We start from the raw sequence: 25,411 nt of genomic DNA on the forward strand, positions 1-25,411 counted from the left end.
CCTGTATTTCATCAGGGCTCCACTGCCCATAGTTACTTCGATTAGTCACTAAGAGCAAATGGTTAAGTTACGAGATAGCCAGAAAAGAGAATATTACTGCTACCATTAAATTACGTTGTAGAAGTATACTGACAAGGAAAAGATGTTCACAGTGTATTATAAACAAACATCCCCAATCTCCATTATTTATAAAAAGTTTTAGAATGAGAAAAGTAGAAATTTAAGGGATAGAAGGGGCAGGTAGCAGACTGAGAACGAGTGTCTGGTTTTGGGCTAACAGATTCACTGAATAATCTGTAAAAACACGTTTACTACCCCTATTTTATACCTGTTTTTTATTATTCTAGCCTCCATTCTTGCTAAGTCTACTTTGCAAAGGGATTCCTTTGATATAAAGTCTTTTACAGGAAGAATTATAGAACACTACAATAACTGAGCAGCTAGCCAAACCTGTTTTCAGTTTAGCATCCACCTTTCCAGGTTGTGAAAATGGAATAAGGTAAAGGTCTCACAATAGGTTTGCCTAATTCTTGGTTATTCACATTGCAGATTATCCAGTGTGGTATGGCTACTTCGTGTAACATAGGCCCACAGATTTCCTGAGGTCTCTCTTCCCCAGTACTTAAGTAAACAAGAAAAACAACACAGGCACACAGGGAAAGGCAGATCCAGACTTAGAACCAAAGTTAAGTGCTTATCAGTTTTGCTAACATTGGTTCCATACAAGTTTTGGCTTACTCTGGGACAAGGAAAGCTTCTAAAATAGAGATTATTTTCAAGGCCCCCTGAAAGATTTTGACCAAGCATTAGGTAAAAGTTAATTCACAAGTCATCCAATCTAAACAGGAATTGTACAAATACTGTAACATATCCAAATAATTAGACTACTAATACTTCCGGAGGCTAATCCTAAAGTTGACAAAGTAATTCTGCCCAACAATTCTAGAACGATGATCTTGCCCATCATTGAATCTATGTTTGCAAGGCTACCACAGCCTAAGAATTTGTCCAAAACCCACAATGAAGCCTTGGTATGGATATGTGATACCTCTAAGTATTAAGAATAAATAGAGCCAGGGCACAGTGGCTCACGCCTATTAATCCCAGCACTTTGGGAGGCCAAGGTGGGCGGATTACTTAAGGTCAGGAATTCGAGACCAGCCTGGTCAACATGGTGAAACCCCGTCTCTACTAAAAATACAAAAATTGTTAGTTGGGTGTGGTGGCGTGTGCTTGTAATCCCAGCTACTCGGGAGGCTGATTTGAACCTGAGGGGCAGAGGCTGCAGTAAGCCGAGATCGAGCTACTGCACTTCAGGCCAGGTGACAGAACGAGACTCCATCTCAAGAAAAAAAAAAAAAAAGAAGAATTTCAGTTTCTTTAAAATGATCTTTCTTAGAAATGTCTTTATTCTCGCTTTCAAAAAAAAAAGTCAATGATTTATTCCAATCTGTATCAAATCAATTTCATAAATGGAGAAATATTTTTGTCAATTTTTCAGAAGGTAGTTTTTACTGAAAGGTAAACTGGTGCTTTTGTATTAGAAAAGAACTTGTTTTACAGATTTGGTGATAAAAAGACAAAAATCCATAAACAAAGGATGCAAACCAAGTAGAATTTAAGTTGAATTCAGGATTTCAAGTAATAATGTATAAAAAAAGTCATTAACTATTTACAATTAGATCAGTAGTGGTTTGTGGTCAACTACACAAATATGCAACTAAATCTACAACCAGCCAAATTTCCAGTTTACTGTAATTTAACACTCATTTAAAGAAAAAACTAAACTTGGACAGGAACATAAGCGACACATTCAAAACCAAGAGCACACACACACAAAATAACTACAAGAGTGAGCACAGATAGCTGGTTGGGGAATAGGGAGTCTATAAAAGAAAATTTTCGATTCTGTTAACTAATCTTCTAGTATAAACTGATGATTATATGAAAAACACCAAGGAGAATACATTCAAGTTAATGGAAACAAGTCTTTATTAAGTAACTTTTAATATCAGAAAAATAAAACTCTTATAATTCTCTTTACAGCAAATATATAATATCAGTGCTTTGGCCATCTTAAGTTAAAGGCCCTTTATCATAAAATATATGGTTTTAAATTTTACTCAAATTGAATTTATAATCCCTATGACTTCCCTACATATACATAACAAAAGAGTGTAGTAAAATTAGCAAATACTAAACTATATTGATAATTTATCATTCTTAGTTTGTGGTTTTTAGAAACAGTACACGCACCTAATATATGTCGATTCCTTGGCTTATTAGTTGCAGTGTACAATGCAACAAAATACAAAATACATGCTTGGTGAACATTCGTTCATATCTACAAGACGGCAGCTAGAGATTAGGTTTCAATACTGACCATTTACTATCCTACAAGCAATTAGCATTACATCATAATATGCCATCAAGGCAACTTTTTTTATACTGAAAAAATCAAAATAAAAACCGTTATTTGTAAACTTTTATACGAAATGTAACTCTTCAAGTGGAAATAAAAAATAAAATTTGTCTATTTACTATTGAATACACATAGGATTTCAATTTTCATTATACCGAGAAAAAAGCTCTTTTGTGTTGGGAAAATAATGCTTCAAAAAATAATTAGTAGAAAAACCCACTAGTATAATGTTTTGTCCTTTCAATGCCAGCACAGATTTGGGAACATACTGAGGATGAAGTTATAGACATCCACAGGTGAAATGTACGAGTATATTTTAAATAAATCTTTCCTTGTGATTGGAAATAGTTTTGAAATGAAGTAAACTGATTGGAGGTTGTCACAGCTGCTTTTGTGAATTATGCCAAGGGCATCATTATCCCTTTCTCCCTCCTCCCTCCCCTAAATTACTAAAAAATAAAAATATATTTATAATGTGCAAGACAAATATGGATTGAACATAAAATGTTTCACATTTTGATCTATAGTCTAAAAATTAACAGCTCGATCACACTAATGAATGGAATGTTTGCATCCTCAATTATCAGCCAATATAGGTGCCATCCCAAAGCCCTTCCTGATATGGGAAAACCCAGGTGGCCATTTCCACATTCACCAAGAGAGGCAATGGGCAGGAATTCACAATTGCATTCCTGATCCACTGATCATACCAGCCTTGAGCACTCTGGGCGAGATGAAAGTTGATGTAGCAGTTTTTGTCCCAAATTATAACCAGTGATCTAGTAAACTGCCATCAGCCCTATCATTACCAATAAGTAATCACAATGCATTAAAAAGTTACTTGCAATCCTGCAGAATTAGGCATATGTTGTTGTAAAATAAAAAACAAACCTGTTTTGTCAAAACTGGCAGTGTAAAGAAGGCAGCACTGGAAGTGTATGAATCGTCTGTAATGCCAAGTACCCTCCATAAACTCTTAAAGTGGTTAGGCTTTGGGACCCATTGTTTTGAAATCTTAGACGTATACACTTTTTCATAGGCTCACACAACCTATGATTATCTTCACTCAGCCAAGTTGAACTTCAGCTTTAGCAATTCTTATATAAACTATGTCTCTGGGTCTACAGGATAGTACTAATAATTCAAACCAAACTAATAGACAAGAGACCACTTAGGTTTAGTGTTACCATAGCAGCCTTTTATAAGTTTACTAACAACTTTAGCCTAATCCCAATAAAGCCTGATAACAGTCATAAGAAATCATTAGGAAGTTTACTGGGGGGTACCATTATACCCATGCCTTTACGAGTCCATATAGAGATATAGTATTTATGTATATATATATAGTTAAGAGTGAATTTGGATTGCCTGAGTAACAGCTGTCTGGCAAACTGGACATGATGGCGTTCTCTTTTCACAGATCTTGTTGGCACATTCCATGCAGAAGAGGTTGTGGCCACATGGAACTAGGGCAGCAATAACCTCATTCTCAAAGCAAATCACACAGTCGTGCTTTCGTCTTGATTCTGGAGGTGAGCTAGAGGTGGAACCACCATTGGAAGAGGAGTAACTATTGGTACCATTAGAAAAAGCAGGGATATATATTGGAAGGCCAACATGGTTGCCTGTACTAGGTGGGTCGCTCCTAACCCTCCGAGCAAGTGGATGTTCTATGCTCTCAGGAAATGTAGGAGACAGACGAGGAGTAGATGGCTGACTTCCTCTGCGCTGAGTCTTCATGTTACCAGAAGGATCACTCCCAAAGCCAGAGAGTGGGTTAACTGGTTCAAATGGAGTCCAGATAGTTTGAGCAGATGTTGGTAAAGAGTCAAAGGCAGGAGAGTCAACTGCTAGGTCTTCTGAGCCTACAGATGGTAGTGTATCTCCAAACCAGAAGTTTCCTGTGCTAAATGGGCTTGTTGGACTAAAGTCAGCCAGCCTATTGCTTCCAAAGTAGGAATCTGTAGAGCCACTTCCTAGAGAACTGGAACTATCATTTCGATAATTGGATATCATTCTTGCGCGGCTAGGAGGAACAGGATTGGAGGAGAGCCACGCAGAGCCAAGAGTGCCACCTTCAAAGCTTACATCGGTACCATTGTAATGGAAATCATTCTCTTCATTGAGCTCTATATAGTTTCCTGTACGCATGGCAATATGCATTTCTATTTCTTCCCGTGCTCGGTCAACATTTTCAGGCATCCCTGTCACTTCAAAGACAGGTTCCTTATCTCTGCTCGGAGTTACTATGTAGGTGTGGGTCTGCTGCTGAATTCTTTTAATAGTTGCTCCTTTGGGTCCAACCACTAATCCTACCACACGATAAGGGACCCTGACTTGGACGGTGGTTTGACCGGGCAGATTAGGACTACATGATAATCCTCCCAGGGCAGGCCCATTTTTGTTTCGAGATGCACGAATCATGGAGAAGTGCTCTGCAGCTGAGAGGATCTCTCTTTTGGCCATGGCAACATCTTCTTTCCTTCCAGTGACAACAAAAATGGGCTCTTCACCACGAACAGGAGTCTTGATATACGTGTTTGTCTTGGCTCTCAGTGCTTTAATTTTACAACCTGTTAGAAAGAAAACATTTCATAAGAATCAACATCTACTTCAATGATATATATAAAGACAAATCACAGAATGCACCTTTTAAGCTAAATATCTGGTTATGGGTTAAGTTTTAGAGTTTTTCACATAGCTAGGAAGTGGCAGAGCCAGAAGTAAACCTAGTTTGACTTAAAATCTGTGGTCTTTTTGCTAGTCCAAGAACCTCGATTTTCACAATTATCTGACAGAAGTTATTAAACTGACTTCCACCTAATTATCTTACCACTTTAACTTAACATTACTCTTTCCTCTGTAAAACTCAATTGATGACAAAAACACCGTGCTCATGGCTAGTAGGTCATCTCACTTCTGCTCCCACCAGTTAAATTCTAGGCCTGCTATGATTCAGTTTTGTTTATTCCCATGTTGTTTGTGGTAGGTGTACTCACGCTAGTAACTAAATTATCTAAATTACTGCATAAACTAGTGAAACATGAATGCAAAAAAGATGAGTATCTTAAAGAAAAAGCTGCTACTGAATTATGAATAGGTGAGACAGCTGTAAAGGGCTGGAATAAAAAAAAAAGTAATATAGAATGATTTTGTAATCATTGTAAAGTCCTGCTCCATTTAAAAGAAACAGATACTGCAGATTGTATGGAATGTGGGTGCTGGGTGTGGTTTTATTCAAGGACTGCTCTGATTGACAGACACAATTTCAAATAAAAGGCCATGACCCCAAATCCTAAGTATATTTAAGTTAAAATAAAACATCTAAGACACATATGTATAACTTTACGTAATTCTCCACTTTAACCAACTTTTTTTTTTTTTTTTGAGTAATCACAGATTACTAGTGCCAACTATGTGAAGATTAGAGGGCTTCAAACTGTAACTTAAAATGTCAAGTACACAACCAAGGAATAAAACTCTGGGGTTATACTTTTCAAAGACCCTAACTTGAGCTTGCCAGCATAGATGTGTTCTCATGAATATATCATACTATTCTTAGTTTGTCAAAATAAAGAAGCTAGGTGCTGTAATCCCAGCACTTTGGGAGGGTGAGGCAGGTGGATAACCTGAGGTCAGGAGTTCAAGACCAGGCTGACTAACATGGTGAACATGGTGAAACCCCGTCTTTACTAAATACACAAAAATTAGCTGGGCGTGGTGGTGCATGCCTGTAATCCCAGCTCCTTGAGAGGCTGAGGCAGAAGAATTGCTCGAACCCGGGGGACAGAGGTTGCAGTGAGCCGAGATTGTCCCACTGCACTCCAGCCTGGGCAACAAGAGTGAAACTCCATCTCAAAAAAAAAAAAACCAAACAAACAAACAAAAAAAGAAGCTAGGTGCTACTGAAGTGTCACAATCTGAGCATGTCTTTTTCTTAAATGCTCCCTTCCTTTTTTGTCCTCAATAAATTAATATTCCTATATCACTTTAGTCAGATGATGCTTTTTTTCTTTTTGAGACAGAGTCTCGCTCTGTCACCCAGGCTGGAGTGCAGTGATGTGTTCTCGGCTGACCGCAACCTCCACCTCCCGGGTTCCAGTGATTCTCCTGCCCCAGCCACCCGAGTAGCTGGGACTACAGGCATGCACAACCACACCTGGATAATTTTTTGTATTTTTAGTAGAGATGGGGTTTCACCACGTTGGTCAGGCTGGTCTTGAACTCCTGACCTAGTAATCTGCCTGCCTCGGCCTCCCAAAGTGCTGGATTACAGGCGGGAGCCACCGCACCTGGCCGATGCTTTCTAATAAAGCACATGACCTGATCACTTTTTTGCACAAAGTGGAACTTGTTTGTTTGCCCTTCCAAAGCATTCCCAAGCCACTAGGTGTTGACTACACAGGTTGAGTTATCCCCTATCCAAAAACACATGGGACCAGGAATGTTTGAGATTTTGGAGTATTTGCATCATACCTGCCAGTTGGGCATCCCTACTCTGAAAATCTGAAATGCTCCAGTGAGTATTTTCTTTGAGCATTATGCTGGTGCTCAAAAAGCCTCAGATTTTGGAGCTCTAAAACAAAATCGGAGGCTTTTTGAGCATTTAGGATTTCACATTTTCGGATTAGAAGTGTTCAGCCTGTATGTGCTTTTGTTCTACAACAGAAAATCAGTTAGAAGAACAGAGAGTACAATGAAACTTCCACATCTACGTATCATTTATACAGGCTAAATGTCCAGGAGATTCCCTCATTTAGTGCAGCAGGTGCAGTTTGGTGTGCAGAATTGAGATCACTTTCTATTGATGCTTAAGAAATTCTGAAAGGGGTGTATAAACACAGAACTGGTCATATTCTATACTCAGGGGAGTTACTATTTGGATATGTAAGTTCACAGTGGGCTACAACTTGACAAGGTGGCAAGAAGGCAGTCAGCCACAGTTACATTCCTAACAAGAGACAGACAATATTCTGCAGAAAAACACTGGGCAAATTGCATTAAGGACAAAGGGAGAATTAGTCTAAGGGTCTAGGGTTGGTCCCTTTCATCCCTTACTAATATTGACCATTAGAAAACTGAAAATAAATAAAAGAAAAAAAAGGAAAACAGAAATAAAAGAGAAAAAAGAAAACTATGTAAAAATCCCTTAATCAAATACTTTTGATACTATAAGCAACTGTCAGTCACACCCTTAGTAGAATATTTTCTGTTAAATACCTAACAGGTATATTATTAACTGAGGAAATATGCTTGAGGGTCCACAGAACACTATCTAGCCTATGGTTGGTATTAATAAATAGGTGTTTAATGTATGGTTCATTGGGTACAGAGAAGACAAATGGTTTGAGCATGGGCCACTCTTGAGACAGGGGAGAAAGACAGGCCTGGTCTACACCCAAAAGGGTCATGTGTTTATTAGGTTTTGCAGATCAGGGAAAAAAGTAAAAGGAAGACAGCAAAGCCAACCCTGGTTTTTTTTTGTTGTTGTTTTTTGAGATGGAGTCTCTGTCGCCCAGGTTGGAGTGCAGTGGCACCATATCGGCTCACTGCAACTTCCGTCTCCTGGGTTCAAGCAATTCTCCTGCCTCAGCCTCCCGAGTAGCTGGGATTACAGGTGCCCACCACCACACCCGGGTAATTTTTAAAATATATTCTTAGTAGAGACGGGTTTTCACCATGTTGGCCAGGCTAGTCTCAAACTCCTGAACTCAGGTGATCTGCCCGCGTTGGCCTCCCAAAGTGCTGGGATTACGGGCGTGAGCCATCGTGCCTGGCCACCAACCCAGTTTAAGCCACTGCCAATAAAGACAGAGGAAACTATTTCTTCACTTCCCTAAATCTTTTGATTATAGTATCCTAAACTCAGATTAGGGATTATAGGGAAGCTCACCAATCATACCACTGTTTCTGTAGGAACACATATTCTGAGTTCCAAACAACTAACATGATTTCTCAACTACAAATACATTCTAATGTTGGGGACTACTCGAATAGATACTTTTTAAAAGGTGACACAAACTAAAGGAGAAAAACAATCTTGTTTTGTAATTTTGCAGGTGACGAAGGTATTAGCTTTTTTGAGTACTTTGAGTTTTTATTTGAAAACTCGAAGATATTTTTAAAAATAATAGAATTTATAATCTCAGAGTGAAATAAAATTCAGAAGCCGTATTATGATATATTAGCCTGTATTTTTTAAGTTGCTACATGGCACAAGTCACCAAAAACAAAGTAAAAAAACCTAAAATATTTATAACATTATTAGAAATGGCTAATTTCTCACTTTCTTACACACACACAAACACACACATACACGCATGCACACACACATCTCTCCCCTACAAATCAAAACAACAAAAACCCAATAAAAGGGTGAAAGAAACAGCTAACATCAAAGTAAATATACAAATGGCTCTGAAGATGGAAATTCCCATTTTCAAGGGAACTGACCTATTATTTTCTACCTATAAGATTGTCAAATAACAAAAACCTTACAACAATGCTAGTAAAGAGTGGGGAAAAGAACTCTCATATTTAGCTGTGAGAGTATAAACTGCCCTCTAAGAGCTATCACAGTTATAAGCCCATATATTCTTACGCTTCTACAATCTTCTTGTACAATTGATCCTGTAGAAATATGTGCACAAGTGCAAAATAACTTCTGTATTTTATAATTATTGTTTGAATTAGCATGAGGCTGGTACAGCTATATAATGGAATGCTATACACTCATAAAAGTGGTTGACCTAGGGGGACAGGGAAGGAGGGAGGCAGTTTTCACTGTATATTCTTATTTATTTTTTTTAATAAATTTTGAGTCATACATACACATTACTTTTTCAAATAAATATGATTAAGTTAGAAAAGAAAAACAAATTAAATATACAGAAATGATACACTTTACTAGTCTTAGCATATTGATTAGACGTTTGGTTAGTGCTACTGATATTATTTTAAATTACAGTAGCCCCCCTCCCTTATCTGCAGTTTCACTTTCTATCATTTCAGCTCCTTTCAGTCAACCATAGTCCAAATGCAGGTGGGTACAGTACAGAATAAAAAGATATTTGAGAGTGAGTAAGACCACGTTCACCAACTTTTATTACAGTATATTGTTATAAGTCTTCTATTTTATTATTGTTAATCTCTTACTCTGTCTTGTTTATAAATCAAATGTTATCACAGGTATGTACATATAGGAAAAAACATAGTATGTATATATAGGGTTTGGTACTCTGCGGTTTCAAGCATCCACTTAAGGTCTTGGGAAGGCATCCCTGTTGGATAAGGGGGGGACTACTGTACAAACAGCAGGGTAAATGATTTCGTAGCCTCAAAGTTGAACAAAGTTTTGAAATTTAAAAATGTGAGGACTACACTTCTTATAGCTACAGATAAAAATCCACATATGGCAAGTTGTATTCAAGGTAATCAATGGGCAGAAGTCTAGACTAGACTGTTTAGAGGTCAAGAACTAATTTTATCTTGATTTGGAAGTAAATTCCCTAAAAAAAGAGTCTCCAACTTAACCTCACTGGTGTAGGAACCCATTTTCCTTTCCTACATCACTGTTGCTGGGGCTATGTTTCACCTTAAAACCCTTTAGCTGCAGCTAGAACTCTGGTCCTCTCACTCCCTAATACAGCAAAGGATTCTGCCTTGCTTCTCCAGGGTAAATAAAGAGAGCTTTTCCTAGCCTTAGAAATTAAGACGGGGAGGTCCTCTGCCGCTGGGAAAGGGGTTGAAAGAAAAGAAATTAAAATGAAGGTAATCTTCAGTGTTTTTCAAACCATGGGTTGCAGTATCAATTCAGTAGGTGCAGTCAGCATTTAAAAAAAGAACTCAATATGTTCCAAATGTTTCAGTGAAATATATAATGGGCTGCAAAATAAAATGTTCTTTTTCCTGTCAGAAAAGTTTAAAACCACTAGACAACATCACCTTTAAGGCCACTTTCTAGTTCCATTAACACATGTGAAATGATGTACTTACAACTAAGAACCAGTACAGTGATAGTGAAAAGGAGGGAGTGTGGCATTATTGAGAAAACCTGGGTTTAAGATCTGACTTTACAGATGAAATTTCCATACAGTTGAAAATGGTAATACTATAGTTCTGCTCTATGGTCACCTAAAGTAGCTTGTGGAGGCCAGACAGCTCAGACATATTTGTAACACCAAATTTTTAAAAACCCATTATTTATTTTCTAGCCACCAGCAACATATCTTGGATACTCAGAGCAGGATTTTTCAAGTTTTGTTTTTGTTTTTAAACCACGGTTCATTTAGATGGCAGCAAAAAGACCACATGGCCTATCCATACCATTTGTTCCCACTTCCCAACAGAAAAAGCACCATGTGATAAAGAATTGAGTTAATATTTAGGTCACCAGTAGTGTACAATTAAGCAGAAAATGAAAGTCCATGGAGCTGTTCATCATTCACCACTAAATCCTTTAAAAAGCTATAGTAGACAGTATGATAGGCAGAATCCTAAGATGGCTCCTCAAGATTCCTGGGCCTAGTATGTACACATACTTTCAGTTAAACAAACACTAACCTAGGTGGCCCCTGTGAAGGGACTTTGCAAATATAATTACAATCCAAATCAGTTCAGCTTAAAATAGTAAAATTATCCAGATTATCTGGGTGGGCCTGACCTAATCATAAGTTTTTTAAAAGCAGAGGTTTTGGCTGATTGTGGTGGCTCATGCCTGTAATCCTAGCACTTTGGAGGCTGAGGCCAGAGGACTGCTTGAAGCCAAGAGTTAATGACAGGCTGAGCAACATAGCAGGACGCTGTTTCTACAAAAAAACAAACAAAAATAAAAACAACAAAAAAAATTAGCCATGTATGGTGGTGTGTCCCTGGAGTCCTAGCTATATGGGAGGCTAATAAGGTGAAGAATTGCTTGTGTCCAGGAGGTCATGGCTGCAGTGGGTTATGATCACACCAATGCACTCCAGCCTGGGCAACAGAGTGAGACCCTGTCTCTTAAAAAAATTTTTTTTTTTCCTAGCATGACTCAGAAGAGAAGTCAGAGAGATGTGCTCTGGCTAACCTGGAAGAAGAAAGCAAACAATGTATGTTGTAAATTGCCTATGGTGACCCCAAGGCAAGGAACTTCAGGTGTCTTCTAGGAGCTGTGAGCTAGAAGGAAAATGGAGGTAGAGGTCATCATCCTGCAACACCCACCTCCCACTCCCTACTCAAAATGAATTTTATCAAAAACCAGCAAGCTTGGGTGAGGACATGAGCCGCAGATAAGCACTGCAGTCCTGCCCAATACCTTGATTTGAACACAGTGAGACCCTGAACAGACACACCATGCCTAGACTTCTGACCTACAGAAATGGAGATAATAAATTTGTGTTGTTGTAAGCTGCTAAATTAGCAGTAACTGTTACAAAGTAATAAAAACTACTAGAGATTCTCAGAGCCCTTAAAAACTCCACAATCACTGCCCCAAGAGAGGAGAGACTAAAATGTTAGATATATTACATTCTTATTCAATACCCTACAAGACATTCTGGAAGTCTCTCAAGAATTATTGTAAGAAGTAGCTTTTGGCTGTGTGTGATGCCTCAAGCCTGTAATCTCAACGCTTTGGGGAGCTGAGGTGGGAGGATCACTTGAGTTCAGGAGTTTGAAACCAGCCTAGGCAACATGGCAAAACCCCATCTCTACAAAAAATATAAAAAACTATCTGGGCGTGGTGGTGCACACCTGTGGTCCTAGCTACTTGGGAGGCTGAGGTTGGGAGGATCACCTAAGCCTAGGATGTCAAGGCTGCAGAGATCCGAGATCGTGCCACTGCATTCAAGCCTGGGCAACAGAGTGAGACCCTGACCCAAAGAAAAGAAAAAAAAAAATTAAGAAGCAGTTTTCAACATAAAATACTGTATTAAGGTGTTACAGTAAATATGGAATTGCCAATAGTTCAATTAAAGTCCAAAAATATTTCTGTCCTTTAATTCCCTATTACCTGCTTTAGTTTCCTAATGCTGCCTTAACAAGTTACCACAGTGGCTTTAATGACAAAAATTTATTGTTTTTACATATATTTGTTATTTTACAGTTTGGTGGGTCAGACATCTGATATGGGTCTCAACAGGGCTAAAATCAAGGTGTTTGCAAGGGCTATGTTCCTTGCAAGAAGCTTGAGGGATCCAGTTCCTTGCACATGCAGGTTGTTGGCAGAATTTGATTGCTTGCAGTGAAAGGACTGAGTGTCCTTGCTGGCTGTCAGCTGAGGGTCATTCCCAGCTTCTAGAGGCCACCTACATTCCCTGGCTTGTGACTCATCTTCAGAGCGAGCAATGGAGGCTGAGTCCTTCTCATGCTTCACATCTTCTTTTTCAGATCTCAGACCCAACTGGGAAAGGTTTTCTGCTTTTAGGGTCTCATGTGATTATACCCAGATGATCATCCAGATGATCTCAAGCTCCCCAAAGCAAGGTCCATACCCTCAATCACGTCTGCATAAACACCTGCAACATCCCTTTTGCCAAATGAGGTGACATATTCAGAGTTCCTGGGGAATTCGGATATGGACTTGTTGGGTGGGTGGGATTACTCTGCCTATGACATTACCTTTCTCCTTTCCTTCAATTATTTTCCTTTTCTTCCAAGTACCTAGCTTTTAAATCCCAATTCAGGAATAGTAACCCAAAGGCCAGGGCAGCGAATAGACATAAGGTAGGGTCAGGAAAGGTTTGAGGAATCACGGGCATTGGAATAGGTGAAGGGATAAATCTAAAAATCAAGTAAGGGCTGAGTGTGGTGGCTCATGTCCGTAATCCCAACACTTTGGGAGGCAGAGGTGGGAGGATTGCTTGAGGCCAGAAGTTCGAGACCAGCCTGGGCAACATAGTGAGACCCCCCCCTCTCTATAATAAACAAATAATATTAAAATAAAAATATCAAATAGGGAGAAAATATAGAAGCCAAGTGTTTACAATGACTTTTACTAGGAGATTATGTTTATGTTGGGAGATTAGTGGTTTGGTACGTGATACACAGTAAAAGTGGCTTCCACTTATCCTAGGCGTTCCCAGCAAAATCACTGCTTGGGTGAACTCTAAGAGCATTTTATCAATTGTGAGATAAAGTGCAGCCTAATACCTGAACTTACCCATTCACATGTTAAATTCCCTATAAAGATGCTAGTGCTACTTCCAGGTGGTATAAATGAACCAGCATCATTTCTGCTCTCAAGCTTAGTCTAGAGGGAAAAAAGTAAAGCAACACTGAATACAGTAACCGGTTTAAAGGTACCTACAAAGCAGTAGGTACATACAAAAGGAGATGACTTTACTACTTACAGTAAATAAAAGAAAGCTTTAAAGGCATCTGAACTGAGGCTTAAAGAAAATGGTTTTGCCAGATGGGAAGGAGAGCAGAGGGAACTGCAAGTGCAAAAGCAAGGAATCAAGAGTACAGGATGGCACAGTCAGACAACTGGGTTCAGCAGTGTGAGAGCTTCACGTCACTGGAGGATAGAATGGCAGGGATAAAGCTGGATGGGGAGACAGAAGTCTCTGATGTCAGGCAAGGGAATTTCGACTTTATCGTGTAGTAGAAAAAACTGGAGATAGACAGTAACATAAACAGATATGCATGTTAAGACTAGTGGGTGCATAAAAGATGCAAAAGAGACAAGACGGGGGACTCACCACAAGGCCTATCACAATAATGAACAGAAAAATGCTGAGAACAAAGGACAGAATGCAAGGCTGGGGCTATGTATGACCACTGTTATGAACATCAAGTACTTGTGTTGTAGATTTTGCAAAAAGGAACTTGTTTTCTAGAAACTAAACGCATTATGTTTTCCATTCATTTCATACATTAGCTACAAATACAAGGTGACTAAAGAAAGCTCAAACCCTTACAAGCAAACATCACAACTGCATTATGTGTATATTTTCACTTTTGGCAGTCCTTGGGGTTTTTCTTCAAAAATTTCCCAAGAGGTTTTGTTTTGAAGGGTAAAGAGAGAGGGGAGTTAAACATCTTGAGTAGCTCTTCTTACCTTCAAGAAAAATAAAACTCTTTGGCCTGAAATTAAGTCCCCACCCCTTCTGCATATTAAGTGGCCACAACCCACCTTCTCCCAGACTTCATCCCCCAAACATGTCTTGTTCCTCTTCTATCTCTGCTCGGGTATTTCCTTACATAATCTGGAAAACCCTCCTAGTATTCCTTTTCCTCCCTGAGTTATCTGAATAACAAACATGGCCATTTGGAAAAGATAAAACTGTATGTGTGAAAGGCTCCACGAACTTAAGAATAATACAAACATAGGCACAACTCATTATTATAGCTATCATGTATGAATCCATTAAGGTCCAGTTCAAGGGAAACAATATAAGCAGCAAAAAACTGACTATCTGCAGGACTCGGAACCTGCTGTTTCAACGTTAGGGCAAACTATGATTAAAGATACTTCCTTCGTTTGTTTTTTGCAAAGATTAAATGAAATAATGTATTAAAAATGCTTACTACAATGCCTGTTATTAAGTGCTTAGCCCAAGTTGTCTTAAGTCCACACTCCTTTCATCACACTATTTTCCCCTAAAAACACATCATTTTGGGAGGCTGAGACAGAAGAATCGCTCGAACCCGGGAGGCGGAGGTTGAGGTCAGCAGAGATCACACTACTGCACTCCAGCCTGGGCAATAAGAGCGAAACTCCGTCTCAAAAAAAACAAAAACAAAAACAAACAAAAACCCTAAATCATCTCACGTTTCATGATATATAAGAATGAATGAAGGGGTTGTATTAATAATTTTATACAAAATAAGGTCCCTTTCCCCTTGGAATAGTCTAGACAGAATATTCAAAAGCTCCTTTCATTTTATAGAAACACATAAAATACTGTATTAAGGTGTTACAGTAAATATGGAATTGCCATTAGTTCTATTAATCAATTCTAGTATTCTATCTTCAAAGACTAATGAGTATCAACTAAATCCCAGTAAGAATGTTTCATGTACACAACATTAATTCAACATTTTAAGTAATAATTTAAGAATGCAATGTATTCCTAAATGCATAATATAAAACTAATAGCTTTCCTTTCTAGGGTTCAAGTGGCCTCCTTGTAGCTATTTTAAGGCAAGAATACTGTTTGTCTCACTTTAGGGATTACTATGACAATACTTCAAACACCTTCATTTATGTGATTTTAGTTTCATTATCAGTATTCATATAAACATTTAATGCCTTCAATCAAGTAGCATCTACTGTACTTCAAACAAAAGTGCCAAACAACTTGAGGTTGACTGGGTCCTTACATAAAAAGCTGTTTGGCCAGTTGTGGTGACTTATGCCTGTAATCCCAGCACTTTGGGAGGCCGAGGTGGGTGGACTGCTTGAGCTCAGCTTCAGCTCAGAAGTTCAAGACCAGCCTGGGCAACATAGTAAAACCCCGTCTCTACCAAAAATACAAAAAACTAGCCAGGCGTGGTGGTGTGCACTTACCGTCCCAGCTACTGGGGATCACTTGAGCCTGGGAGGCGGAGGTTGCAATGAGCTGAGATTGCTCTACTGCACTCCAGCCTGGGCGACAGAGTGAGACCCTGTCTCAAAAAAAAAAAAAATTAAAAAAAATGCTGGGAATAAAGGCAAGAGGGAAGAAAACCCCAATTAAAACAATATGGAAAGTACAATGATATAAACAATAAAATGGCAAGTTTATAAGAAAAAAATTTAGTTCAATAAAATAAAAAGGAAGTATTCCACTTTGTTTTAGGTACTTTAACCAATATTAATAATGCAAAGATGACTAAGATTCAGTTCTACCTTCACTGACTTGTATTAACTTCAAGCACTGAAAGTATTTAGTGATACATGTTCATGTACACATAGTGACCTATTTTCTTTTCTTATACTGTTGGTTGGTGACAGTAGTCAGATCTTCTACAATATCCTTGCTGATTTTTGTCTACTTGTTCTACCACTTACTGAGATAGGCACGTTGAAGTCTCAAACAATAATGGCTTGAGACCTTGGATAAGTTGTTTGTAACTCCATAGACTTGTTTATCTGTTCGGTGGAATTAAGAATGGATTAAATGAGATGACACATGTAGTTTTTGCACAGTGCCTGACACAAGTTTGTTGTTATTAAAAGACAAGTGAACTGATTTTTATAGGGAGTTAAAAACATTTAAAGAAACTCCTAAAGATAAAACATATCATAAACTTTGCAAAATTGAGAAGATTTTGCAAAGTCAATCTAACTGGTAATATGAAATCTGGTTTACTTTTACCTCATTTTAGGGACTCTCTTTGGACAAAAATCAGAATATAAGAAATGTGACAGACCACCTAGTTAAATCTCATTTTAGACATGAGGAAAACCGAAGCCTAAAATTGTCCAGTTATAAACTAGTGACCCCTAAACCAATGTTCTCTCAAGCTGCCTTATTTTCCTAAATCCCAATAAGAATATTTCTAGTGTATTTTTAGGAGTGGAGAAGAATTCCCTGCATGTACAAGGTATTTTAAAAAACAGAAGTTAAATTAAATCTAAAACCCCTCTTTTTTCACTTATTTTAGACAAGACAATAAAAAATATTTAATGAAAAGTTTTATTATTTGGCCTTTCAGTAAACCTGAAAGAAAAAACCAGAAGAGGGTGTAAATTAGAGATGAAAGGCAGAAGTTTTCCTAACTGGGGAGCTTGAAATTATGTTCATGCTCTTTGGAGAATGTTAACAGAAACCTTAGAATTATCTGTCTGGGTACCATACAATGGAATTAGATTCATTTGTAAATGATTCTCTTCCAGACTTGCTTAGTTCTTTGCCAGGAAATACATTTCCAAAGCTCTGATTTTAAATAAATTTTAAGACATATTATAAATTTAAAAAATATAACTTACATAATTTATTGGTATAGCCTACGAAAAACTTACTAAAATGACATTTTTTGGCTTTAACTAGCATTTGTTCAGAGTATAAAAGAAATTTAGCAGTAAAAATTTACCTTATCTGATATATAATTTATCATCTCTGTACTTTCAATTGTACTGTCAATTTCTACTAATGCTATCTTCTCAGACTTGATCCTCACAACAAATGAGGGAGAGGGGAGAGAGAAACCTGGAAGAACAAGTAGATGAAGTAGGTTTTTTCCAGAAGAGAAAACAGGCTCAGAGAGGTTAAGTGATTTATCCAAGGTCACAGGCAGCAAGTGCAAAACACAAGGTTTCTAACTCCAAGTCCAATGTCCTTTCCTGCATTATACTAAATGGCACTGGTAGAAAGGCAGAAGAGAAGGCAAAGGGAAAGGGAGGCACAGAGAAGGGAAATAATAATAAAAAGGTCAGCCCCAAATGCAAATATATACTTTTACATTGGTAACCATTTTGGGAGATCTTTTCTAGTTGTTTGAAGCCATTCCCTCCCCACTTCCCCTTCAATCATGTTCAAGACCAAATTACTTATGCTTACCTTCAACTACATCTGCAGTTTTCATTAAAGGATTTTCTTTTATTATTTTAAGGCTTAGTCTTATTATTCCATGATAGACTTTACTTGTGACCAAACCAGGCTTCTCTGCATGCAATGAGGAATTGTAGTCCGTACTTACCGGACAAGGGCAACAAACACTTGAAGTGTCCTTACATCTCAAACACTGGCATGGAAGAGGTCCTATAGTTAGTGTAACTTAAAATTCTCAAAGTCAGTTATAGAATAAAGACTTGAACTACTCAAACAGTATTAGACTATGCATACATTCAATTTAGTATATCTGGGTTTGGTAATCCTAACATTAGAAAATTATTTTCAAGGCTTAAATATCAGATTTAATCTTTGTAAGTCTCTATATAGTAACTAATGGTAGCATGGGGAAAATGTTAAAAGTAAATCCACAAATTATGGCATATAAGCTACTTGGGAAGCATTAAGAATGCAGTTTAATAAAAAAGGTATCACTTAAGGATCACCTGAATATCAATGGAGATTTAAACATAACTATCCATGATCTACTTGGAGCTTCTTAAAAAGCTTTTTTTATTTTTAAGTGCAAATACACTCCTTTAGTATCTTATGAACATTATCTACTTTCTCATCTTGAGTTTGGTTACAAATTCTACATGGCAGGAATGACACTGTTTAGAATTCTATAACAATCCTATAAATTATAAAATAGTACTGTAGTAGTCATCATGGCTCTCCTTGTGGGCACATAGTTGTCATATACTTTCTCAGCCTTTTGAAGTTAGGTGTGGCCAGATGATTTGCTTTAATGAAATATGAGCAGATGTGATAAGCATTACTTCCGGATCTAACATTTTAAGACCAGTATGTGCTATGCTGTAGTCTTTCATCTTCTGGCACAACAGAAGATCAGTAACACTGGAGATGGTGGCTGCTGTTGGCCTGTGTCCCTGAATGACTAAAATGAGCAGAGCCCCTATGAACAAGAAATAAACCATAGTTGTTTTAACACTGAGGTGTCAGAGTTCTTTGTTAACCACAGCATAACAAGCCCATCTTGACAGAAGTGCCAAGTATCTAAAAGGCATTCAGATATCCGTTGGTTCTAGTTCTATTACATTGGAAGAATATAATGAGTCAAACTATCTGCTAAAGCCAAAAAAGGTGGACATGATTAAACGGTGGTTCCAAATTAATTTCAGATTTACCTTAACAAAAGTAATGTGCTTAGCACTTACAGTTTCATATATGTCGATTTCTTTATCTTCCAGAGTCTCTACAGGAATTGTAGATATGATTATGCCCAGGTGCAAAAGAGGAATCTGAAGCCTAGGGAGTTTAAGTGACTTGTTCAAGATTACACAGTGAGTTATTGGCACAGGAATATCTATTTCTGATTTGGTTCTTTCCAATATACCACAGCTGAACAGAGACTGTCACAGGCAGTTTGGTGTAGCTACAATAGGTATTTTTACATATTGTATAAGCTACGATATTAAAATACACATACTAAAACATTTTTATGTTTAAGGCAAAAGTATTCAAAACCAAATCAGCAATATATTAAGCATTCCCTTATAACTAAATGCTACCTTTCCTTAAAAACTTACGCTGTAAAGAACCACCTAGAATTCCAACCTATAAACATTGTTTGAAAATTTTCTAGATAGAAATCTCTAACAGACTAACACAAATACTTGGTTCCCTGGATCATTTTCAGGTTGTTGGTAACCAAGGGGTACAAAATACACCCTTGAATTACCACTTCATTTCCCATTTCCTCCCTAGTGAATCAGAATAGTTCATTAGCTGAATAAGGCAGGAAGAAAGGCAGTAGATTCCCCACCCATTTGCAAAAACAATTACAGTAACTGAACCCTTCTCAAGGGTCCCAGAACTAATACAAACCATTATTAACGAAATTTAAATTTTAAAGCCTAGAAAAATTGTAATATTTAATTTTTAAAGCTAGTGTCTATATATATACGCAAATTAACTTTCTGTACTACAAATGACAGTAAATTTTTAGCTGGACACATTAGAACTATATTACAATTAAAACTGTGCCTTGTGGGTAGTACAGACACCAAAATTTTATCAAGTAAACTAATTTGGATAGTGGTATTTTAAATTATGCATATTAGAAATTCAGTATCCTACGATTAGGGCACAAGTTAATCCAAAATACTAACCTTCCAGAGCAGAATGCTTCAATACTGAAGTGGCAATGTAGAGTACAAAGAATTTTATTTCTGATGTCAAACTATGCTAAATCCAATCTCAACTATTTGAGCAAGTTAGCTCTCAGAACCTCTGTTTCTACCTCTCTAAACGGCAGTAACCACCTAGCAGGGTTAAACGGCACTGGTGAAGCACCTAACATAGTACTAAGCAAAGAGAAGTCCAACAATGCACCCTCATCCCCATAAAAGAAAAAGACACTGTGCTGTAGCATCATTCTGAAACTATTTATTCTCATGAAATATGTACTTCTCCTTGAAGAGAAAATTTATGTACAGCAAGACCAAGCTTTCTCTTTTTCTCCTGGTCACAGACGTATAAACCCTATTTCAGTTGTGTTAGAGCTTGAAGGGTGGTTCCACCCTAAGAAATTGGGAAGACAAATTGAAACAGTGTAAAGTATTAATTGTTAATAAAGAATTTTGTTTTATAATGTGTAATATATTAAGCACACTTACTATTCATACATAAATATCCAGATATTGGGAGTATGCACATTTTTTTTGGACAGGGTGTACAATAAAAAGAAGCTAGAGACGACTTTTCTAGACTATGTGGCTAGAGAACACACATAGACCATTAATTAAAGTCTAATGAAAGATACACATTTATCCTAATAGTAATACAAAATCTTGGGTTACAAGTCTCTAAACAACTGAATTTATGACATTTAGTATTAATTTATAATGTATTAAGAATGGGTATACAGTTCTATTTTAATTCACTTTTTAGTCTAAATGGATATAAATGACTGTACAAATTGGAACAAAACCTGCTGACTAAAATTAGACCTGTTAATCACTGTTAATATGTCTTGCAGGTACTATACTTAAAAACAGAGACGTTCTAAGTTTATAAAATTAGGTCTTAAAATCTGTTGTCAGGTTTATTTTTGATGTCCATATTCTAAAACTTCTTTGATTATATCAACAAGCCTCTTCAGTTCCTGGCTTTATTTTACAGTATTGTTGTTTCACAACAGATGCAATGCTTTAAAAAACAAGGCCAATTTAACATTTACAAATGACCATATGCTACTGGGGAGTATAAATTCGAGGTCAAACACTCTGCCAACTTTCATCAGTATCAAAAGCGGTAGTTTGTGTTTTAGAAAAACACTGGAACTCAGAGGCCATCTACATGAGTTGCTAGTCTATGTGACTCAGAATTCCATTTGTCCTGCTCTTTGCTTCAGAGCTGAAGTCATAAATGTCTCCATCTGTGACATAATTATTTCCAAAATCAATTAAGAGATGTCAAATAGAAAATTATGGCTTCAGGTAATACATAAAATGGCAGAAATGGATAATTTAATCTTAAGGATGAAAGTTTAGCTCCTTCAAAGCAAACAAGAAAATGAAATGATTTGCCCTGTTTTACTTACTTAGGACAGATTCTCTCCCGTGGGGAAATATAATACTGTAAAAGAATGTGAACATTAGAAGTCACTTCGTTCTCCATACGAGTGAGCAAACACTTTACAGGTTTATTACTATGCTGCTGGGACATGGGGGTGGCAAAGGGGTCAATGATCCACAAGTTGTATGGTTCAGAACAGCAAAAGGACCAGATTTTCTGCTTTTAAGATAGAGGATGATGACATACTTTTAACAGTATTGTCAACTCTGGGAAAATACAAGGTTTAAATGGAAGAGCCAGCAATTTGTCTCCATGATCTAAGACATAATTAAATTCAACATTTCCTTATTAACCAAATAAACACAGCCCTCAAAAGAAAAACTAAGGCTTTATCTCATTTCCTATCACGTAATAGCTGGTACAAAATAAAAACTTGGAATTCACTTTACTTTTAAAAAACTGATTTCTATAAAGATTAACAACATACACAAGTAAGGGCCATTTAGCAGTGCTTTAAGGGGTGTCTACTATAATGAAGGACTAAAGTTTGTATTAAACTAAATCTATAAAATATGTTATCTTGTCCTTCAGTAAAACTGGCACGTAAATGTTTTCTTCCTTTGTTACCCTAGACTGTTACCATAAGCACACGGAAGCAACTTGTCCTGAGAAGTGGCATCTTCATATGGCATTCAGGCTTCTTCACATTCTGGTGTGAACGCCTGCCTTCCCCCTTTTCCACCACTCCCCTTTACAGACCTCAAGTATCAAAACAACACTACTTGGCAATTATACCTAGGCTAGTCCTCCACACCCCTCCTCACATTGTTCCTCCACAGTTTTTCAATCTCCATTTGTTAGACTCCTTCCTACCCATTTTCCAAGGCCCTCTCCATAGATGTTCTCTTACCTGAGACTTTGTCATACTAAATACACTATAGTTAGTGCCATTCTACTGTTTATTAGACTGTTATCTTCTTAAGGGCAGAAAGTCTGAATTAACTTCACATTCTCAATACCACAAACTCAAAACCTGGCAAAATACAAGCTTGGTACATAGCGATTCCTCAGTGTTCTTACATGAATGGTCAACTCATTCTGATCCAAATTGAGATGTTGTAATTTTATCCCATGTAAACAAAAGTTTTCTCCTGGATTATTACTCTAAGTATCGCCAAAACCAAACAATCCAGGAATCTGAAACTCATTAACCAGAAGAACGACAAGCATAAGCTACCTTTCAATTGAAAGGTCCAGCTTTGAACAGTGTCTGTAAGTGCCAATCATCAGGCAGTCTGAACTAAGCTATCTCCTTTATCCAGATTTCAGATGAGTTTTTATTAAAATCCTACAGATAGGAAAGAAATAAGCCAAGTCTGATATGTGAAACCACCATTTCGACAGAGCTCTTATTTATGTGTACTTTAGACCACCTGGGAAAGATGAGATCATTTAAGCGGCAGCGCCATCATCTCTCTTTATTTGACCCCAACAATGCTCTCAACCTAACAGTAAAGAGGCATGCAACAACCAGGCTAAACCACATTGTCATGCGGTGGCAGCAGGTAACATCTGCCCCTTTCATAAAGGGGAAATGCTACCATAAAGAACTTAGGACCTTCCCTAAAAATGTCGGATACAGAGGTACCCCAGGCATCCCCTTCCCCCACCTTCACAAATCTACTCCTGGAATCTGAGACACAGGTCCTTTGTCTGAACAATGTGGGAGGAGTCTGTCTGCAGTACTGGTGTGCTGGCAAGTGAAGAGGAGAATTAACTGAAAACTGTATAAACCGATGAAGTTTCTTAATTACCTTAGTGTCCATTTTTTCTTCATCCTGCACACTGAACAGTTTTAAAAGACAGCCAGTGTGTCAGTGTGTCTTTCCGAGAGTTGAAACGTACCGAGAGAAATACAGTTAAGATAGGCGGCAGTGAGTTGGGCTGCTTTTCCAAAGCTAAGTTTCTCAACAGCGGAGGGGCAGGGGATGGCGGTGATACCGACCATTTGAACACCCCTTCCCTCCCCAGTGAGCTCTGTCTACAGGCCTCCATTTCTGTTCTTTTCTCCATCTGAACAAGTTCTTGTAAGGGAGGCTGAACGCTTTTAGAAGACACTCGGCGGCGCAAACTTGCAATCTCGAAGCTTTCCGTACCCAACAGCGAACCCACAACTCCTCGAGCCCGACCTTTTACCACCTCACTGAGGTTTCTGGTGCCACGCCAGCCTGGTGTTCCACGAATACAGCCCAAGTAACGTGAACACCACCGGACTGGGTCGCCCGAGAAACTTCACACTTTTTACCAGGCAAGACGGGCGGAAAAGCGTGGGTTTTCGCAAGGTGACCCATCTTCACATCTGGTCGACCCTCGGCTCCTCCCAGACCCCTTCGCGGTGGACTTGGGGGCCTCGCCGGGTTCGCCTTTTCCGTCCCACGCTCCTTTCTCTCGTCTCCCCACCCACGCCCGGGGCCATGCCCAGCTGGACCTCCCCACCCCTGCACTCACCCTGGCGGCCGACGATCTCGGCGACGTGCTCGGAGCTGGGCACCGGGACGCACTCGGTGGTGTTGACGCTCTTTCTCCGGAGCAGGGCCGCCTGCTCCCCGTTCAGGGCGGCCGCCGCCGCCCCACAACCGCCGGGGCCGTAGGCGTGGGACAGCATCGCCGCCATCATGCCCTGGGCATCGTCCCCTCCGTACAGCACCCCCGCCGCCGCCGCCGCGGCCGCCGCCTCCCGGGCATCGAACCTGGCGGCTGGCAGCAGCACAGACCCCAGGGACCCGCCCGGGATCTGCTGGGTCTGAGAGGCGGTGGCCGCGGGCGGCGACAGCAGCAGCAGCGACGACCGGTCCTCCTCCTCTGCTTCCTCCAGCTCCTCCTCCTCCAGCAGGTCTCCGTCCAGCTCCGCTTCCTCCCCCTCCTCCTCGTCCTCTTCCAGCTCCAGCTCGGCCGCCTCCGGGGCCCCGGGCCGGCCGGGCGGAGCCCGCTCCTCTGGAGACAGCTCCGCCGCCCGCCGGGCCTGGCCCTGCGCCGCCGCTGCCGGGGCCCGAAGCGCCGGGGCGCCGGGCTCCGCCGGGCTGGGGTCGTCGAGGCCTAGCGCGGCCAAGCGCTCCCTCAGCAGGAGCCCGTCCCCCTCGAGCTCCGGGCCGCCCGAGGGCGGCGGCAGAGGCGGCGGTGGCGGCGGCGGCGGCGGGGGCGGCTGCGGCAGGGGGGCCGGGGCCGCCGCCAGGGCCAGGGCCGCGGAGCTGCCGCTGGGCATCGCGGCGGCGCGCTGTCAATGGCGGCGGCGGCGGCCGGGTCAGGCGCGGCAGGCGGCGAGCCCCATGGCGGACAGGGCCAGGGCCCTGCTCAGCTCGCAAACACCTTTCCTCTGGGGAGGCGGCGGGGCTGGGGACCCGGGCCGAGGAGCGCCAGGGCCGCCCGGAGACCGGAGAGGGCGGGGTGGAGGGGCAGGGGAAGGAGGCAGAGGTAGGTAACTAGGTGGGTGGGTGGGGACGGCGGCGGGGCGGGCTGGTGGAGGTGGCAGCGGCTCCCCTCTCAGTGTTTCTTTTGTTTCATGGCCTTAACCAGCCCCCGGCGCGCGCGGCGGCGGCGGCTACGCCCCACGCCGCTCTCCGAATGAAGCCGGCGCGCTCTGATTGGGTGCTTTTAATCTCTGGGAGCCCGCCTTCTCCTCCCGCAGCCTTCCAACTCCTTTCCCCAGCCCCACCCCCCACCCTCCTTCGGGCCCCGCCCCTCCCCTCCCCAGAGCTCTCTGATTGGGTGACCGGGACCAGCCAGTTCCCGAAGCCTACTCCTTCCGTCCTCTCCCCGCCCACCTCCCTCTCATTCCTCCCGGCACGCGCGGAGAGGGACTGTGATTGTTCACTTTACACGTCACTCTTTGTGACGTCCCCGGCGGGGGCGGGAAAAAGGAGGCGGACGAAGGCGC

General features: G+C 40.1%; 1 protein-coding gene across 2 annotated transcripts, besides 8 other annotated features; it reads right to left on the minus strand.

Annotated features, from left to right (window-relative positions):
* On the minus strand, positions 1,969-25,100 carry MEX3C (mex-3 RNA binding family member C). Of its 2 annotated transcripts, none has more exons than NM_016626.5 (2): positions 23,986-25,100; positions 1,969-4,995 (listed from the first exon to the last, which is right to left on the minus strand). In NM_016626.5, exons 1-2 carry the CDS (start codon positions 24,737-24,739, stop codon positions 3,770-3,772), a joined length of 1,980 nt encoding a protein of 659 aa, NP_057710.3. In that variant the 5' UTR covers positions 24,740-25,100; the 3' UTR covers positions 1,969-3,769. The 2 variants fall into 2 exon arrangements, with proteins under 2 accessions (NP_057710.3, XP_047293496.1); XM_047437540.1 differs by lacking the exon at positions 1,969-4,995 and adding an exon at positions 20,325-20,481.
* Positions 22,118-22,412: a silencer, noted in NCBI's record as "tiled region #125; HepG2 Repressive non-DNase unmatched - State 2:TssF". NCBI's record gives its function as "represses a minimal TATA promoter and a strong SV40 promoter by Sharpr-MPRA in HepG2 cells {active_cell/tissue: HepG2}" and the evidence as "EXISTENCE:reporter gene assay evidence [ECO:0000049][PMID:27701403]".
* Positions 23,104-23,725: an enhancer, noted in NCBI's record as "H3K27ac hESC enhancer chr18:48722055-48722676 (GRCh37/hg19 assembly coordinates)". NCBI's record gives its function as "activates a minimal SCP1, AML or CMV promoter by ChIP-STARR-seq in naive H9 embryonic stem cells {active_cell/tissue: H9 hESC(naive)}" and the evidence as "EXISTENCE:reporter gene assay evidence [ECO:0000049][PMID:30033119]".
* Positions 23,354-23,403: an enhancer, noted in NCBI's record as "active region_13329". NCBI's record gives its function as "activates an Ori minimal core promoter by ATAC-STARR-seq in GM12878 lymphoblastoid cells {active_cell/tissue: GM12878}" and the evidence as "EXISTENCE:reporter gene assay evidence [ECO:0000049][PMID:35858748]".
* Positions 24,064-24,113: a silencer, noted in NCBI's record as "silent region_9463". NCBI's record gives its function as "represses an Ori minimal core promoter by ATAC-STARR-seq in GM12878 lymphoblastoid cells {active_cell/tissue: GM12878}" and the evidence as "EXISTENCE:reporter gene assay evidence [ECO:0000049][PMID:35858748]".
* Positions 24,134-24,183: a silencer, noted in NCBI's record as "silent region_9464". NCBI's record gives its function as "represses an Ori minimal core promoter by ATAC-STARR-seq in GM12878 lymphoblastoid cells {active_cell/tissue: GM12878}" and the evidence as "EXISTENCE:reporter gene assay evidence [ECO:0000049][PMID:35858748]".
* Positions 24,444-24,523: a silencer, noted in NCBI's record as "silent region_9465". NCBI's record gives its function as "represses an Ori minimal core promoter by ATAC-STARR-seq in GM12878 lymphoblastoid cells {active_cell/tissue: GM12878}" and the evidence as "EXISTENCE:reporter gene assay evidence [ECO:0000049][PMID:35858748]".
* Positions 24,664-24,773: a silencer, noted in NCBI's record as "silent region_9466". NCBI's record gives its function as "represses an Ori minimal core promoter by ATAC-STARR-seq in GM12878 lymphoblastoid cells {active_cell/tissue: GM12878}" and the evidence as "EXISTENCE:reporter gene assay evidence [ECO:0000049][PMID:35858748]".
* Positions 24,794-25,323: a silencer, noted in NCBI's record as "silent region_9467". NCBI's record gives its function as "represses an Ori minimal core promoter by ATAC-STARR-seq in GM12878 lymphoblastoid cells {active_cell/tissue: GM12878}" and the evidence as "EXISTENCE:reporter gene assay evidence [ECO:0000049][PMID:35858748]".

This window comes from Homo sapiens, chromosome 18 (assembly GCF_000001405.40).
Source record: "Homo sapiens chromosome 18, GRCh38.p14 Primary Assembly".
Classification (NCBI taxonomy): domain Eukaryota; kingdom Metazoa; phylum Chordata; class Mammalia; order Primates; family Hominidae; genus Homo; species Homo sapiens.